Consider the following 18,609-nt stretch of genomic DNA (forward strand, 5'->3'; position numbering starts at 1 on the left):
CTTGGGATTCCTTAGATGGGCTTAGGTGGGTAAGTGTAGGTCATGAAGTTGACTGTGGAACTGTGTGTATATCATATGTGCACAATTTAGGAAAGGCTGTTTTTTTTTTTTTTTCTCAAAAAGATCCTTGTCTCAAAAAATGCTAAGAATTCCTGCCTGCATACGAGACCTAGATTTCCATAGTTTTTAAGAAAATTTTAAACTCCTCCTAATTTAAGCAACTAAGCCCTAGAATGTAATTTGACCTTTTTAATCCTATATTTAGTCTGTTCATAGCTTTCTCAAATCAAGTAGAATATTTAAGAATCTCATCATTCCTTATTATTAAGGAATTATTACCAAGTGAAATGCAAATGTATCATAGTGAAGCCTAAAAATTAAGTTATAGGCATAAGGCATAGATATACCCCTCTGTGGTCTACTTGAGAGCTGCATTTGATATGGTGTAAAGTGGAGAGAAATTAGGAGACACTGGGTGAGTGACAAAAGTAGAATATACAATATCTCTACCTCCCAGTGGTTCTTATCAGGGTGTGACTTGGCCCCCAGGGGACATTTGGTAATATCGGGAGACATTTTTGATTGTCACAGCTAGGAGAAGGGGTACTAATGGCATCTAGTGGGTAGAGGCCAGGTATGGTGCTAAATGTCCTACAATGCACAGGACAGCCCAAACCAATTATCCAGCTGAAAATATTAACAATGCTGTGCTTTAGAAACCAGGCTCCACAGTGATGACAGGTCTGTGTATGGGACACCTCTTGTGCTCCTCTTCAAGTCCTCTTGGCCCCACGTGTTAATCCCATGATTGCTGTAACACTTTGACCAGCTTGGGCGTGTGCATTCTGAAAGTTACTTGCCTCGCACCTGTGGCATACGTCTCTCGCTTCCTGCTCTGGGACTTCTCTGACATAGCAGCATGGGCATCCTATGTGGATCCTTTTGGCATTCACTGAAACATTTGCAAACCAGCAGTGTAGGGGATTAAAGCATACTATAGCAACAGGACAGGAGAGTTGAATTTTTCCTTCTTTTGTCCCCTGGGTAGATAGTTATGAAATGTTTTAATACACTCCAAAGAATTACCTCTGCAATTGAACACCAGTCTCCCTTAGCAGTAGCCAACTAAATAGCACATCCTTCTGTTGGCTCTTTCTGCTCCCTAGGTTCATTTCTCTTGTCCCTCACTCCTACTTTCTGGGATCACATGCCCATTAAAGCACCTACATGCAAGTCTTTGACTCAGATTCTGTTTTCTGGGAAACTCAGGATGAAGTGCCATGTGTACAGAAGTCCACAGTGAAAAACCAGAAATTAATGGAAGGGAATATAAAAAAGTTAGAATTTTATGAACATTTGTCTTTTTTCCCTTCAAAGTCCAGCATGAATATACAATGAAAGAGTAAAAAGGGCACCAGATTCTCAGTGGCACAATAACGGAGCACTCAGAAAGGGCCATTTCTAAAATTGTCCTGTCAGCCAAAGAATTTTCTAATCCTCCTATGGTAGGGGTAAGGAAAAACAGTGGTGGCTACACAGAAGGAGGAGAAACAAAGAAACTAAGTCAGGGGTTCGAGTAAAAGAGGAAAGTAAAAAGAATATCCTTTGCCTCAGCTCCTTTAAATGGATTGTGTTATTGTGAGAGCTTCAGAATGCTAGAATTTTACTTAGAGGAAACCTAGAATATCATCTAATTAAATTTTCTCTTTTACAGCAGAGGAAATGAGGTCTGGAGAGGTTAAATGATCTTCTCAAGGTCACTCAGTTGCCTTAATGGCAGAACCAGGACCAGAACTCACTTCTGAAAGGGATGGGGACACAATCTGATCATGGATTCTAGATCACATACTTCTGTGATTCCGGAGGCAGCCCAGAACTTCTCTTGACATTTTCTAAACTCTTTTTGGAGTTATGACGTAGCTAGGATAATACTTTCAGGATACCTTGTCCCAGGTCAACAAGGAGCTAAGATGCTAACAGGAAATAAGAGGAAATGTCAGCTGTGCCTTTCCTTTCTTGTTAGAGGGTGGCCGTGTTTCTGGCATTTCTTGTTATTCTAGGGACAGTCGCAGTGCTGACTTCTTAAAGTTCCTGTTAAATGGAGAAGACTTAGTTGATTAACTTGACCAAGGAGAGTGGTCATAATGATCCCAGTATGTTCTGGGGCTTTTCACTAGTGTTTCCCTCTAAGGCAACTTTGTTCTCAAAGGCAGTGCCCTTGGCCAAGAGGATTTGAAGAGGAGCACAAGAGGTGTCCCATACACAGACCTGTCATCACTGTGGAGCCTGGTTTCTAAAGCACAGCATTGTTAATATTTTCAGCTGGATAATTGGTTTGGGCTGTCCTGTGCATTGTAGGACATTTAGCACCATACCTGGCCTCTACCCACTAGATGCCATTAGTACCCCTTCTCCTAGCTGTGACAATCAAAAATGTCTCCCGATATTACCAAATGTCCCCTGGGGGCCAAGTCACACCCTGATAAGAACCACTGGGAGGTAGAGATATTGTATATTCTACTTTTGTCACTCACCCAGTGTCTCCTAATTTCTCTCCACTTTACACCATATCAAATGCAGCTCTCAAGTAGACCACAGAGGGGTATATCTATGCCTTATGCCTATAACTTAATTTTTAGGCTTCACTATGATACATTTGCATTTCACTTGGTAATAATTCCTTAATAATAAGGAATGATGAGATTTTTAAATATTCTACTTAATTTGAGAAAGCTATGAACAGACTAAATATAGGATTAAAAAGGTCAAATTACATTCTAGGGCTTAGTTGCTTAAATTAGGAGGAGTTTAAAATTTTCTTAGAAACTATGGAAATCCAGGTCTCATATGCAGGCAGGAATTCTTAGTATACACAATTTCACAGTCAACTTCAGGACCTACACTTAACCACCTAAGCCCATCTAAGGAATCCCAAGTGTATGTTAATGATTGCTGGTGAACATTTGGGTTGTTCCCGATTTTTAGCTATTATGAATAAATGCTGCCATGAAGATTATTTTATGTGCCTTTGGCTCACACATATACACATTTGTGTTGAGCACATACCTAAGATAGAATTATTGCCTTGGCTCCCTCCATTCCCCCACTGGGTATCCAACACCCAAGGTGCACCTAGTAAGGATGCTTTTCTTCTCCTTGTGCTGAGGTCCCAGGTCAGACATTTTATTCTAGTGAGCAAAACAGATATGCTCCTGTCTTAACCTGGCTCATAGTCTGGTGGAAGAGACAGACATTAAAACACACACACACACACACACACACACACACACACACACACACACACACACAAACTCAATCAAGTCTGAGAATTACCAAGTCCAGAGTGCTGTCGGATCTGACCAGGTTTGGGGTCAGGGAAGGTCTCCCTAGGATGAGGTTTAAGATAAGATACAAAGGACTGAATTCATCAGTAGGACTAAACTGGCAAAGGATTTTAGGGTTGTGAGGGAGGAAGCAGCACATTTAAAGGCTGAGTGGAGGGAGGGCCTCAAGGAAGTGAAAGAAGCCAGAATCCAGAAAGCAGACAGGTGTGAGGCTGGCCTGGTCTTAGGAGCCATGGAGACCATGCCAGGAGTGCCACTTTCTTCTTGAGGGCAGTGGATGCCACTGAAGAGTTTTGAGCAGGTGAGAGCAGTGGTCATATTGGTGTTTCAGAAGAATTTTCTAGATGCAGAATGGAGAGAAGGAACTACATGACAGTGAGTTAGAAGGCTACTTGTAGTTTGGGCAAGAGGTATTGGTGGCTTCACTGGGATTGAGGGTAACAAACTCCATGAAGATAAGGCACCTAGAACAGTGCCTCACATATAAGTAGACTTGATAAATATTCATCGAATGAATGAATGATTGGGTGTAGTATAAAAACTTTTTTTTTTTTTTTTTTTTTTGTGGCAAGGTCTCATTTTGTTGCCTAGGCTGGAGTCGAGTGGTGCCATCACAGCTTACCGCAGCCTTGACCTCCCTGAGCTCAGGTGATCCTCCCACCTCTGCCTCCTCAGTATCTGGGACTACAGGCAGGCACGATCATGCCCAGCTAATTTTTGTATTTTTTTGTAGAGATGGTGTTTCACCATGTTGCCCAGGCTGGTCTCAAACTCCTGGGCTCAAGCAGTCCACATGCTTTGGCCCCAGAAAGTGCTGGGATTACAAGCATGAGCCACCACACCCAGCTGTGTAAAAATATTTAGGAGGACCTGGTGATTAATCAGAATGTGGGAGGTGGGAGGTGAGAGGTGAGAGGGAGAGAAGAGGCAGGAAAGATGCTGGGTTTCTGCCATCAGGTAACTGGGTAGATGATAGGGCCAGGAACTGAGGTGGGAAACGCAGTGAAGGGGACTGGAAATGGAGAGGGTTGTGTATGCAGCTTTGGACTTGACTTACTAAGATGTCTGGGAGGCAGTTGGACATAGTAGCTCATGAAAGATAATTGTGTTGATTTGGGCATCGTCGTATTATGGATGATAACTGGAGTCATAAGAATACGTAGTGCAGCTCAAGAGGAATGTCTAGAGAGAAGAGTGCTCTGAAGGATTTCTTGTTAGTGTTGCCCTCTACTTTTCCCATAGCAGGACTATTTTGGCATGCTGTGTCTCATTACATTCCAGAGTAGGGATTGGCATAGGGCCCCTTCAGAGAGTCTCTCAACCAATCTTTGCTCTAAGAAATCTAAATAAATATTTAAAGGTGAGAAGAGTGAAGAGTGAAGTAAATTATTTTGTTGAAATGTTCTAGTAGGTTCATCTTGCTTCTTTTAACACATTTAATTGAATGCAGTTCTGCATACCCTTCAACCTACTGAACTTGACTTTCTGGGTGTGACTACAGTTCAGGGTATTGAGGGAAGAAAAGGAGCTGAGGAGGAGAACAAGCAGTGCTCTCTCTGAGTGCTTGGGCCCTCCCAGGTGTCCCTTTGACACCCAGTCTCTAGCCTGTCAATTTGCCTCCCCTAGGAGGTGGCCCCACGTGGCCTGCTGCTTGGCAGGACTGGCTGGAGCAGCGAGGAGGGACTTGGCTTGCTCTTCTGTCATGATGGGCTGCTTGTGCTCCCCTCCAGTGGAGATGCTTACACCTGCCTACTACAGTCACCAAGAACATCTGGCTCCTATGATCCTTCATGGTGATGGAGCCCTGGGAGCAGGCCAGGCTTGTCCTTGGCCATTTTCTCCTGCACATTGGCCTTTTACACTAGGGGCAGCCATGGGAAGCTCCTTGAGGCCTTGTTAGTGTCCATGCGTGTCTTGTTAGTCAGTGCATTTGCAGCCCATCATACAGTGCCTGGCACGAAGTTGAGTAAAGAAATGAATCCTCTGTCTACCTCTGGGGAGATTGTCAACCACTGTGGGACCCATTAAGTGTAAATATTGGGACAGTCAGATCTCAGAAGGGGAAATGAGCCCTTTCATTAAAGAGCAGATGATGGAAATGCTTTTCTTGTTCTGAGGTCCTGTATAAAGCAGCTTGACCTTTTAGTCTTTATATGCTGCCACTTTTGTATCTCTTTGAAGATGGTGCCCCTCTAGGCAGGGCAAGGCCTCAGAATTGGTTTTCTATGAGTGGTAGGCTTGCTGGAGCACACTTTTTGATCTGACTCCCTTGTCGCTTATCACGTTCATTTGTGGACTAGATGCTGAGTAGACTTCAGCTATCTAGGAGAGAGAAGTCTAGCAGACAGCAAATCCATGATTGCAGCATCATTGTCCCAGGACATCTTAGATTGCTCAGAGGTTCAGATTGAGGGCCCAGGGATGGGGATACGATTTTAATTGAGCATCTTGTCTATGGCAGCCAGCCAGTGAACATGAGCTATTTGGTCTGTATTACTCTCTCTTTGCCTTATTGTTGATTTCTCCCATTTTCTCTGTAGGGCTCTATAGGAAAAGGATTGCCTTCTCTGTATTTGATGCAAGTAACAGACACCATGGGACTTTGTGGACCATGGGTGTCTTTAGTCAATCTGAACATGCATACTGAGGACTAGTAGGTGTTGGTCAATGTGCCCAGCACTGGCCACATGGCTGCAGACCTTGTCTTTCTGCCCAGTGCAGGCAAAGGAGGCTCCTGGCAATTGAGGATATAATTGTGGGCAAAAGAGAAGAAACCTTCCTGATAATTAATGACCCACATGGAAATGCGCATGCCTCAGTGCTGATGTAGGGCAGTGGAGCAGCACGTTCCAGGAGGCTTCCTCAGAAGTCCAGTCTTGGGAATTCTCTGTGAAAAGACATGTCCGCTGTTAAATCTGTGAAATATGGCACACTCTCTCTCCTTTTCAAAGATTCTTAATTGTACATTGGTGGAAACAAAATGTCCTGCTGTAAAAAGCCTGTTGTTTAACTTTGTTTAGCCTGCTATTTTCCATTCATATTTAATCATGGAAGTCTTTTTTAAAAATCACATCCATGTAAGTACCCTATGGGCTTAGTGTTCTGTGGAACGTGCTTTTGGAAGTGTTGCATACAAGACTGTGGATTTTCCTTAGTCTGAAGCTCTACCTTTTTCCTTTCCTATTCCAGTTTCTTAGGGTGATTACATAGGAAAGACAGACTCCACAGTGAACACTGAGAAGCAGAGGCGAGGTTGTCAAAGAAACTTACAAGAAGAAACTCCTTCACTGGCAAGTCAGTGAAATTATGGGGAAATACTCACATTAATGTCAGGGAGCTGGAGGCACATGTACTTAGTAGTGTCATGTTAAAGAATCCAAGCTCAGCATGGTATTCAAGACAGAATTACAATTTTGTGACTTTATGAGTCTCTCCTTTTGCTGTCCTTCTTCATTGGAGTACGGGAGAATAAATGAGGAAGGGACATTGACTGTAAAGCAACTTCATTTTGTTTGAATTTGACTCTGGAGTCACCTTCCCCAAGAATGCTGTGGACTTTTCCCTGTCTGCTTTGACTAGAAACACGGGAAGATGAATACTATGAAATTTCAGTGATTTCTGGATTCGCAACATTTCTACCTTTTGATAATTGATTTCATCTCATTCTTAAATCTGTCCTCTTCATTTCCACTGTCACCCTGTAGGTTCAGGACTTCATCCCTTTTCCTCTGCAGCCATTTATTCATCTGTCCATTTATTCCTTCATGTAGCATGAGCACTGTTCTGTGCAAGGCACTGAACACACAAGAGAGAATGAGACATGGACCCTGCTCTCACTTTGCTTACTGAGGCTTCTAGATGTGGAACTGGATTTCTAGTCTCTCCAAATTCTGATCCGTCCTGTTACTCCTGTTGGAGTGACATTTCTTAACACATCTTTGATCCTGTCATGTTCTTTTTTTTTTCCCCGAGACGGAGTTTCGCTCTTGTTGCCCGGGCTGGAGTGCAATGGCACCATCTTGGCTCACTGCAACCTCCACTTCCCAGGTTCAAGCGATTCTCCTGCCTCAGCCTCCCAAGTAGCTGGGATTACAGGCAGCCGCCACCATGCCTGGCTAATTTTTTTTTTGTATTTTTAGTAAAGACAGTGTTTTACCATGTTGGCCAGTCCGGTCTTGAACTCCTGACCTCAAGTGATCCACCCACTTTGGCCTCCCAAAGTGCTGGGATTAAGGTGTGAGCCACAGTGCCCAGTCTGTCATGTTTTATTGAGAAACATTTGGGAGCTTCTTATTACCTGTGGAATAGAGACGAGCTGATTCCCTCCCCCTATGCCAAAATGACATCCATGAGACTCCTTGTTCAGGCCCTATCAGCTCCTGTCTAATCTACTTTTCCCTTCACACAAGCTTGGTCAACTGGATGACTGCAGGATTCTTGCCCATTTCAAGCCTGTCTTCCACTCTCTGGCTCCTGCAGTTCCACTGTCCTTTCTCTCCTCTTTAACTTCCCCGCCTTCCAAATCCTTCAAGACCCAACTCAAATGCCGTGCTCTCTGGAATGGCTCTCACAACTGTCTGAACCTCTCTCTTACTGCATTCTGCCTGTCATAAAATGAGCCACACACCTCAGGTCCTATCCAGCTCACATGTAAACATGTAGTTCTTTCTGGAGTCACATTCTTTATATCTGTATCTATGTCTATGTCTGTCTTCATAATATGAATGTAAATAATTTAAAATTGGGTAGAATGTTCCGTTAGAAAATTGAAAATTAATTTTAAAGTCTGTCATTTTTCTGTAATTTTGTATAATATAGGGTCATTCCTTTTACTTATTGGAACCAATTTTTAATTTATGTATAGAATATTTAGATTTTATTTTGGGGTTAAGTACTACTCTGTTTAGAGAGGAGTGGACTATTTAAATTCTTGAAATAACTTCAAATCTATTTATACAAAAGAAAATTAGGGATAATTTTAGGTACTACAAAGACTCATGTAGTATTATGGACCTTTGTCATTTAATTGCATTATCCTTTTAATGAGAGCTAAGTTCAATAAAATTTTATTTTTTCAGACACCACTCTTTGGGAATTCTTGATAGTTCAGTTACCAAAGTGGCAGACATTTTCAGTTGTTGCTCTGATACTTTTTAAATGAGCAAACTTCTCAGGCACTTAGGAAGATCCACCCATGTGTGGATAGTTAATGTAATAATTACAAAGAATTCCCATCTATTAATTACAGAATATCTGGCAGTGCAGTGATATATTTGGCAACATCTTGTCAACTATTAATTCAAGTTAAGTACTTTTTTAAAAGAATAGCTGTAAGTGAGGCTTTTATTAATTCTAATGGCTTTACTCTTAAATAATCTAAGTTAGTGAAATTTAACCAGTTACTGAGTTGTTCTTTGTATTCAAGGATAGTGGTTTTACAGATGTCATCCACAGGAGGGGATGTGATTGGAGAGACTGGTGCCTGGTCACTGGGCCTCTCCAGATTGCATACAGCTGACACCTACCCTTTTCTTGTGGTTCTAATTGCCACTCGTTCTAAGGAAGGCTCATTTACATATAGAATGTGCATATTTAATCGTATTTGATCCTCACCGAAGCCATAGTTAGGGTGGGCATGACCAGTCCTTGATCGACTTACTCTTGTCACACACAACTAGAAGGGGCAATATTAGTACTTTCACCAAGGTCCTCTGTCTCCATCTCTGTGCTTCACCACACTGTCTTTCAAATAGTAGCAACTTAGATTTGCAAAGCAATGTACATCTACTACCTCATTTGCTTATAAAAAGTCACCCCCTTGAGATTGTCCTAAGTGGATCTGCCTGTTGCTTTTCTTTTCTGGCAATCCTTAGTTATATGCCATTGTCTGCTGTGTTTCATATTCATACTTAAAAGGCACTCTGAACATTTGACATGTCCTACAGTGTCATCACCCTGTCCACACTGCCTTCCTTTGGCTGCCCTCAGGTTGCCCTAGCTCTTTCCAAGGCTAGAGATTAGCTAAGTAATATGTCCCAACTCTCCCATCTTTGCCTCTCTACCTTTCTCATTGGAACCCTATCCTCAGCCCTTCTTCCCATTCCTTGTAAAAACATATTCTTCAGAAAGAATCATTCATTTCAAAGCATAAATCATTACTTACAAGTATATATTGAGCCTCCTTGCTTTCAGGGAATTGGTGTTTTAATGGTTCATAAGAAACATTTAGCCAAAGAAATGACCTTCTAGTGGTAGAATTTAATCTTAGTGAGCAGCTGAAGGATAATTTTTTGAAGCTAGGATATTCTTATTGGCACCCTTGAAATTACAGAGGTAGGGGGGTCTCCCATTTCAACCACATGGAAAGCCAGTCTTATCCATGTTCTGCTGTGAGCCCTGCTCCTTAGAAAAGAGAAGGCTGACAAGAGTATTGCTTGCCTGTGGGTAGAATAACTGCTTGAGATCCACATATTATTGGGCCTGTCTTATCATTTAATGTTTAAGTAGCACTTGCTGGTGCGAGTTATACAGAATGTTTGCAGCAAATCCATGTCTCATAGTCATAAAGAAGTAAAGGCTTGCACCGTGGGCCTTTAACTTGTTTTTTGAAAATCAATCAACAAATATTGATTAACACTTCAGCTGTCTCCTCAAAGACATTTTGACCTTTTTGATTTCATTTTCTTTGTCTATTGTTGTGTCACTGAGCAATGTGCTGTGTAAGTTGCAAAATGTGTGACAGCTTTTAGTCCTTTTTGTGGAGAGAGGTCTGTGAGGATGGTTTATAATCTTACTGCTTAGAAAAGCTGTGGTCTCTAAGGTGTAGTGGTCAAGAGCTTGGGCTCTGGAATCAGATGGCCTGGTCCTCAGTAAGGCTCTGATATGTACTTATTGTGTGATTAGGAGCAAATTACTTAACATATAAACTCACTTTCCCCATTTGCACAATGGAGATTAATGTTAGTAACTGCCTGGTTGGTGGTGGTTGTGAAAAAGATTAAATAACATTGAAATGAGCCGTGCATTGTGCGGGCACCTGCGAAGTACTGCTATCATTATGTTCTTTGTGGTTTAGTGGTCCCAGTTTTCTCTGGGTCTCCTTGTATGTTCACTCCTAGAACACAGGGAATTGTACAGAAACTCCTGGTGGACTCTGTAGAAACTTTAAGTTAGATTGCTTTAAAGTGTTTGGAATTGAATTATTTCAAAAAGGAATTTCTTTTTTGCAGAAGTTATAAAGAAAGCAAACTTCAGTTTCTTGCCTGCTTTCCAGGCCTTGACTTTATTCTGTTTTTAAATATAGCTGCTGCAACAAGTAGATTGACACAGTGCAGCCCGGCCATGGGCCATTTCATGTCATTTCATGGCATGGGGAACACACAGGAGTCTCCTCAGACTGCCTTGTAACTTGTCTCAAATATAATCCAGGTCTTTCATTGATTATCTGGATGTGTGCATTCTAGGAACTGTTGGAGGAGATAGATGTCCCAGCAAATACTTTCGGAATTTCCCCTCAGTCTTGGACTCCCATGAAAGTTACAAAGGGGTGGTAAATCTACAGTTTAATTGCCTGGAGTCCATTAATGCCCTACTGATTTTCTTTGGGCACTGGTCAGGTAAGTTAGTATACATGTTTATAGCCAATTTAAATGCCCCAAGAAGATCACTGACCAATGGCCATCCTTATTTTTAAAAGTCACCAGATAAGGCAATTTCTCAAACAACTTCAGCAGGGCATTCCAGAAATGCTTGATCTCATACTTCTCTGCACTATAATAAATACAATTTTGATTTCATCTTGGAGTAATCTGAACTTCTGGGATGTAAAGTAGAAAAATGTTCTATAGCTCTTGGAACATTAGATTGGAAAGAAAATGCCTTAAACATTCTGCTTAATTAAATTCGGTACAAATTTTTCATGATTAATTGAAATATGCTTATTTTGACTGATACATATTTATATGATATTATCATATGAAAATTATGTTATACAAACCGTTCTCTTTGGGAATGTGATTTAATGCTGTAAACATTTTACATTTGTTGTATTGTTTATTATAAAAATGCACAGGCTGATGGCTGTAAGGTAATGTCATGTAAAAATCTGTTATGTGAATCTTCTCTGAGGTAATCTCAAGTCTCTAATGGCACAGACCGTTAGCCAAAATGTAAGACAGGTAATTAGGTTTTCCCTAGCTTGAAGAAATATTTTTTTAAGTAGAAAAAAAAATTTAAAGCAGATCAAGTTAGAAAAGTTAAAGTGCTGAAACCTTCTATTTTGCCATTGTAAAGCATGCATTTCATTTCCATGTTTATTGTAAAGCATGCATTTCATTTCCGTGTTTCAGGTAGAAAGAGATGCAGGGTTGAAGTGGACTGATCCTTTTGACTTTAACCACTTAAGAAGTGTTCACTTTTCTAGGGGTGCAGTCATAAGATGGGGACACCATCTCATGTCTGATGACAGAATTTTGAACTATAGTTTGGCTGACAATATTAATTTAGATAATCACAGTTCTTTATTAGTTTCTAAAATCTGTTACTAATATAAAAGACTTTTATAAATCTAGAATGCCTGAAATACCGGAAAATGTTTTTTAAATTTTTTGAATAACCCAATTATCAGACTGTTCTTTGGATCATTAGCTGCTGATAACAGTTTAATACTAGAAAAGGAGAAATCTGATGGGCTTTTCCCAAAGCATATACCTTTATGAAATGGAGTTGTATGAAAAACTGCGGGGAGCGTTGACTTATTTAACAAGGCAGATGCTAACCATCATTCTAGAAGTTTTTCCAGCAGCCAGATATAAAAGTGCACAATGTATTTGGTCTCATGTCATATTGTTGCTTTGTAGTAAGAATGATTTATAAGAAATAATCTGTTTTAAAATTCTACCTTTTTGTTCGTTTATTTGTTAGGTCCTTTGTAAGAAAGTATTCTTGCCTCCCTTTAAAAAATGACAAGTGGGTCTGTCTGGTGATGATGGATTGAAGCTTGAGAAAGACCCCGGAGCTGCCCTTTGGCCTCAAGCATCATTCCTTCAGGCCAGGTCCAAGCTGCAAGCTAAGCGCCTGGCCTTGTGAATAGCTTTGCACTCTATTCTTTCTCATCTCAGTGTTGGTCCATTATAGCTGAAGATCTAGGACTTAAACAGTTTTATGCTTTGTTTCCCAAATCAGATTATTTAAAGGAAGAAATAATGAGGGGGACCTAATGCATGTTCTAAAATGGCTCCTTGGGAAGTGGGGTCTCCTCATTAAACTGTGAGGCCAGGTGATTTCCCGCATAAATTTTTTTCCTTACAGATTTCACCAGAATCAAGCTTACTGCCAGTGGATAATTTATGAGAATTCTGCTGTATCTTCTTTTTCAGGAATTTAAGATTTTAAAGTATCTTATCAATTGGGAAAAATAGAAACTATTAGTTGCTATCTAGTTTAGTAAAGATAGGTGAATATTTTAAAATATATGCTATTTCTAATCTAAGAAAACTGCTCCATACACCAAGGTAAATTATAAAGCTTTGCTAATTTTTCATACCATGTAAAATGTTCATATGTAGAGAGATGCCATATTAGAGATCATGTAAAATATAAATAAAAGCTTGCTTTTATTTATTTATTTTTAAATTTTTTTTGTTAAGGATATTCCTGAAATATCAAAAAGCTTGCTTTGAATAGAACAAATTATTAAATACAGTAATTGTTTGACATTTGATTTCATATTATACCATTTAAAGAAAGTTATCAAAAATGTTGGACTGACATCAAAGGTCATTTTTTATACTATCTCACTTGATAACAATAGATCACAATATGTAATTTGTGAAATACTAAAAGGTCATTAAAATGGCAATATTTATTCCATTGAGGTAAATAAAATGCTGCATATAGTTCTGAGTGGTGATACTCAGGGGGAAAAAAGCCATATCTCTGCACTACAAATTAGTTTGCTTCTAATTTTGCAGGCTGATGACCACACTGCCTCAAACCAAATCTTTTCCCTGGAAATGAAATGATTGCATGACAAACTCTATGAACCCTGAATATGTCAACAACTCGTGGACCAGGCCTTGCTTAGCAATTAGTCTTTGGGGGATTTTATCCAGAAATCAGACAACACTATACGAGTGCTTGTTGGGGATTTTATGATTACCATTCATGTCTGGAGCATGAATGTGGGTTAATAAAAAAAAAATTCCATAAAGGAAGAAGAGATGTGGCAATCAGTCTCTCTCTCTCTCACACACACACACACACACACACACACACACCACACACACACACACACAGTCACTATCAATTGGGAGGACAGAGAAAACTCAAGATGTAGCAAAAGCCGTTAAGAGGCAACAAGGAAATATTACTTAGGTGTCTACTTAAAGTTTCCTTTTATTCACCCCCACCCACCCCTCAGAGGCCAGTTTTTCCCAGACCTGAATATCACCATCATAATGTTTGTCATAACTTCTGACCACCTGCACTATGACTTACTGAATATATTTTACTAATTGACTCACTTTAAAATCCTTTGTTTTAAGCAGTAGTATTTGTGATATCATGGGCTCATTATGCTAGTTAAATTTGTTTTCTTCTCATACAAAGGAAAAGAAATACAATTTAAATAATGGAAATATTTGCAAACCACCTAAATTCATTCTGAGCAACCCCATGACATGACATGAGGGGCTGGGAGGACCACCAATCTGGCTGAGAATGATCTGGCATTCCCATTACCATCCCTCCATCCAGGGCCCAGGAACCACATCACATGGAGGAGAATTTCAATCAGGCCTGCATCTCCCTTAGGACACCAGTGCCGGAAGGCTGCATTGTCAGAGTCTGTTCAGCGAGCCAGGCTTGTCCCTTTCCGTTGCCAGAATCTGGCCACGCACATCTTTCCTTTTTGACTAAACGTGTTGCTTGGGAATTATTACATTGCAAGAATAAACAATAGCACATATCATTTAACAGTAATAGGGAACAGGCCATGGTTGAGCCTGGCGTCTGGTCAAGGTTCACATGAGGGTGTTCCATTTGTAAGTTAGCACCCTACAAATTGTCCCACCCAGTGCAGATCCTGCAGGCTTTCACAGGACCTTTGAAGAAATGGGTTATTTTACAAGCTTCGTTAGTGCTGGGGCTGGTTTAACTAGGCAGATGAAGCTTTTTTTTTTTTTTTTTTAAACCAGGCTAAGAAGCCCTAGGAGCCCTTGTGGCTCTGCAGTCATGCTCTGGTTTTTAAGTAAATGTCTTTTGGAAACTTAGGAGCCAAAAAAAAAAAAAAAAAAAAAAAAAGAGAGAGAGAAAGAGAGAGAGAGAGAGAAAGAAAAAGCACTTCTTCTCCAAGGTCCAGAAACTAAAATCAGGCCCAGGTAGCTCTGTCAGGTTCAGGGTGTGTCTAAATTTGAAGGGATGTTTGCTTCTGATATGAACATTTTTCTTATACTTTTATTATAGAAGATGATGTGTCAAATGTACAAATAATGTGTGCCTGGTGCCAGAAAGTGGGAATCAAGCGCTATTCCCTGAGTATGGGAAGTGAGGTGAAAAGCTTCTGCAGCGAGAAGTGCTTTGCGGCCTGCCGACGAGCCTACTTCAAGAGAAATAAGGTAAGAGCACCGGAGAGAGAGGCGGCCCCCCACAGGCCTCACCAGCCCACACGCGCATGTGCCTCATAGCTTCTAGCGGAAAACACTGCGCACCTTTTACTTTTATATTTTTATTCTCTCTGTTTTGTTGATTCCCCTTTTGTGTCATGCTTAACCTTTTGGAATAAGGAATCCCCTTCTAATGTGTTTCTCTTGGCTTAGTGTTTGTGTTCTGAGAGGGTGAATGAATCTGATGAGGACACTGTGATCACAGCTGGTATCCTCATGGCCAGTGTCTTTCCAGCAGTAGAGTGCAGACTGCACTCTGAGTACATGAAAGATAAGTGGTAGATATTTCTTTAAAAAGCCAAGTAATTAGCCACAAAAGCATGGCCAGAAAGTTTTAGCCCACTTAGTTTAATTCTTGTACCCAGTGGAAATACTGCTATTGCTCTTTTCAAAATCTGGCCCACGAGTTCTTGTCAAGAAAAATGTCAAGTCTCTCTTGACATCTTATGTTAAAGCTGATTGATATTGAGAAAAGATGAAATCATGAATACGTGAAACAACATTGCTCACACAGCCAAGCATTTGTGAGGAGCGTGGTGGGTAAACACAGGAACAGCCATCGTTAGAATTTTTTTTGGTTTTGTTTTGAAGACATCCCAGGTCTGAAAATGTCCTTTTTGAATAGTGTTAGCCACCATGGATGGGAAATGGAATGCATGATGTTTTTACAATCACACGCACATGCACACAACTATTTTCTGAATCCTTAAAGAACTGCTGTAGCCTTTGCCACCAACTACTGCGGTAACTTGCTAGTCCTCAATTATTTTCCATTGATATGTAAAGCTTCCTTAATTCATAAAATCTTTACTAAAATTGTCCACATTTTGTTGTTTCCATTTCTATAATACAAGATCCAAATCTGTTCTTCTTGAAGCAAACAATTATTATTTTTCCAAAAGTGTGATATTTGCAATCCTGAAATGCTAATTATGGGCTCACTGCATTGCAGGCACTGTTGCAGCAAATTATCTCCTGAAAATTTGGGTCACATTCATTCTGCCAAAAAACATAATGCCAAAAGAATTAGGCTGCAGAATTCAGCAGGGTGGAATTTTAGTAGCAGTCTCTAAGAGTTAGGCTCATAATCTTCACTGAAACAGAGAGGCAAGTAAGGAAATTGTTTGGAATTCTTTTGGGACTGTCAGCAGTCAAGTTCACTTTCCCCTGGGAGGAGCCAGTGAATCTGGGGAGGAGGGTGGGAAGAATGATGCACGGGAGACACGTTTTGTTTTAATATAGGGGGATTAAAATGATCTCTGAGACCCCGGGGCTCCCGTTTTGAATGCCGAGCACTGGAGTAACAAACCCAGGAGTGGGCCCAGTGCTTTCTTCTTCAAAGCCCTACTTACCACAACAAAATACTTTGCATTCCAATCCAGAAGATGGCTATAGAACAGGGCTTTTTGTCTTTCTATAATTCTGAAGGGTTATGGGTCTGAATCTTGATGGGCTGCCTGTAGGGACTAAAATCAAGCAAGATGGATTTGTCACAATCCTGGTGATACATGTTATATTTTGCAAACTGTATTTTATAGTGAGCCTTTGAAGAAAGACACCTGATTCCATTTGGAAAAACACTCCAGAATACCATATCTATATCTATATTGTTTACATCATTATAAAGTTTAAGGTCAAACTGAATTTAAACTTTCATAGGGTACATTTTTGAAAAATGGATAACTGGGAGCGAGGATAGGAATTAGCATTTGAAATACTTACAGCAGGTAAAGTCAGCAGTGGGAGGAGGACCATCACATTTCACTTTCTACCAGGCGTTATTGGGATATGTCTTTGAACATCTTGCTAAACCTGGAAGTTGCAGCAGTTTGGTGTTTAGCCAGTGACTTTGCCAGCTGATCCCAGTTGTCTGTTAGTGTACAAACAATTCCTCCCTTCTCTGCAGTCTTCATCCTTCCTTATATATCCCAAAGCTCTGATGTGCTATGCCTTCTTGTGTGTGTGTGTGTGTGTGTGTGTTTTTTTTTTTTCCAAATAGAGAAATAAACTAGTCTATCATTTGTTGGCTTCTTTTTTTTTAATTTTAAAGAGTGTTATCTCTGTTACAATATTATATTGTCTTACAATAAACATGTACAGCTGCTGCATTTCTGTTAACTGATAGGATTTTGTGGTCATTTCATTTAGGGCTTGGGTTTCCTAATGGATTGTATTAGATACCAGTCTCCATCCTGCCATTTCTAAGAACTGCTTGTAATAAGCCCCTGGGTGTTCCGTACTGAAGACAATAGCAAATAGCTACTTCTCCTCTTGTATCATTTAACAAAGTCCTTAGTCCTTGTTAATTAAATTGTGGACTTTCTTAATCTTAGAAAAAGGGCAAAATTCTTCCCATTCCTACATAACAGATTTTTTTTCTGGCTAAATTCTACCTTTTTTAAGTTTTGAGAAGTGGATAGAAAACAGAGTGAATAATGTGTGTGTGTGCAGAACAGAATTTTGCCTTAGGTATAGTGTAGACTTAAAAAAACATAAAATTAACTGTGCTGTAAATTATGCTTTATGACAGCCCGCTTCTTGCTGGATAGCATGGTGGGATCTAAAAATGGTCTCTAAGTTGAACCCAAATTGCATGCATAACTTTACAAAGAAAAATCCTAGTAGAAAAGGTAGCTAATTAGGAGCAGTATTCAGCTGACCTCTGTTTTGTGTCTGAGCAACACCTGCATTTGTGAATGTAAATTGGACAGCTGTGCTTGTGGTCTCTGTGCATTTCTCTTCACACACGCTTGGGTGTAGAGTCAGGAATTGATTTGCTGCTGAAAACAAGGACAAAAATAACCCAACTCTCAAAATGATGGCCCACTGAAAATGGGCTCTTGAAATTTCTTTTGCCTCTCAATCCTTCATTTCTTTTTGGGTTTCTGTGTTTGTTTAATGGGGCGGGTTGAAAGTGTCACATACATCTCTCACAGACTGTCACTATGCAATAAGGTGGGATGGATTGAAGCCAGGTTAACCTATATAGTATATAGGTTATATTTTTAACTGAATTTAAATTTTTATTTGAAGAGTTGTCTGGATTGCTACGAATATTAGGCTTTCTTCAAAATACTTCTACTCAACACTGCCAGGAGAGGACCATGAATCACAGCTGTATTCACTTAAGGACTCTAACTACTAGTTTACACATTTCAGAATGTTGGCTCTAGGAAGTGGATAGTGTTAATTCATAATATATTTTGTAGGGTCCTTATCCCCGAAGGCTTATTTGCTGGCTTAAAAGTTTTTGAAACAGCGGGTAAGAAAAATACTTATGTAGTCTGTGGGCATTGTATGGACAATGGGATGTCAATCTCATTATTTCATGTATTGGAGACTTTTCAGGGAACTAATAGCTCACTCTTTTCCCAGCCCATTTTTGGACTTGAGAGCATTTCTGTCCTTGTAATTCATCTAGGAATTGGAAAGTTGCAGAGACTCCTTAGTGATTTTGCACTCTTGTGAAAACATTTAGTCCAACTTGCTAACACCAGTTTTACTTTGCATAGTAATGCACACGTAAAAATACTCTTTCCTAAGGGAGTAATGTCTTGTAACCATTATCCCTCTAAAAAGGAGTAACAAACAAGACCACAAAT

General features: G+C 40.1%; 1 protein-coding gene across 9 annotated transcripts in view; it reads left to right on the plus strand.

The window, feature by feature from the left end:
• The window catches only part of SOBP (sine oculis binding protein homolog), a 171,190-nt gene that overhangs the window by 28,535 nt on the left and 124,046 nt on the right, over positions 1–18,609 (plus strand). For 4 of the 9 annotated variants that reach the window (NM_018013.4, XM_047418963.1, XM_047418964.1 and 1 more), the window contains one exon: positions 14,808–14,959. The exons of 1 other annotated variant lie outside the window; for it this stretch is intronic. In NM_018013.4, coding sequence (NP_060483.3) covers positions 14,808–14,959 — 152 coding nt within the window. Of the gene's footprint in view, positions 1–10,807; positions 10,961–12,266; positions 12,428–14,807; positions 14,960–18,609 lie in introns of those variants that run through there. 4 more of the 9 variants (XM_011535920.3, XM_047418962.1, XM_047418967.1 and 1 more) reach the window with 3 other exon arrangements.

This window comes from Homo sapiens, chromosome 6 (assembly GCF_000001405.40).
Source record: "Homo sapiens chromosome 6, GRCh38.p14 Primary Assembly".
Taxonomy (NCBI): domain Eukaryota; kingdom Metazoa; phylum Chordata; class Mammalia; order Primates; family Hominidae; genus Homo; species Homo sapiens.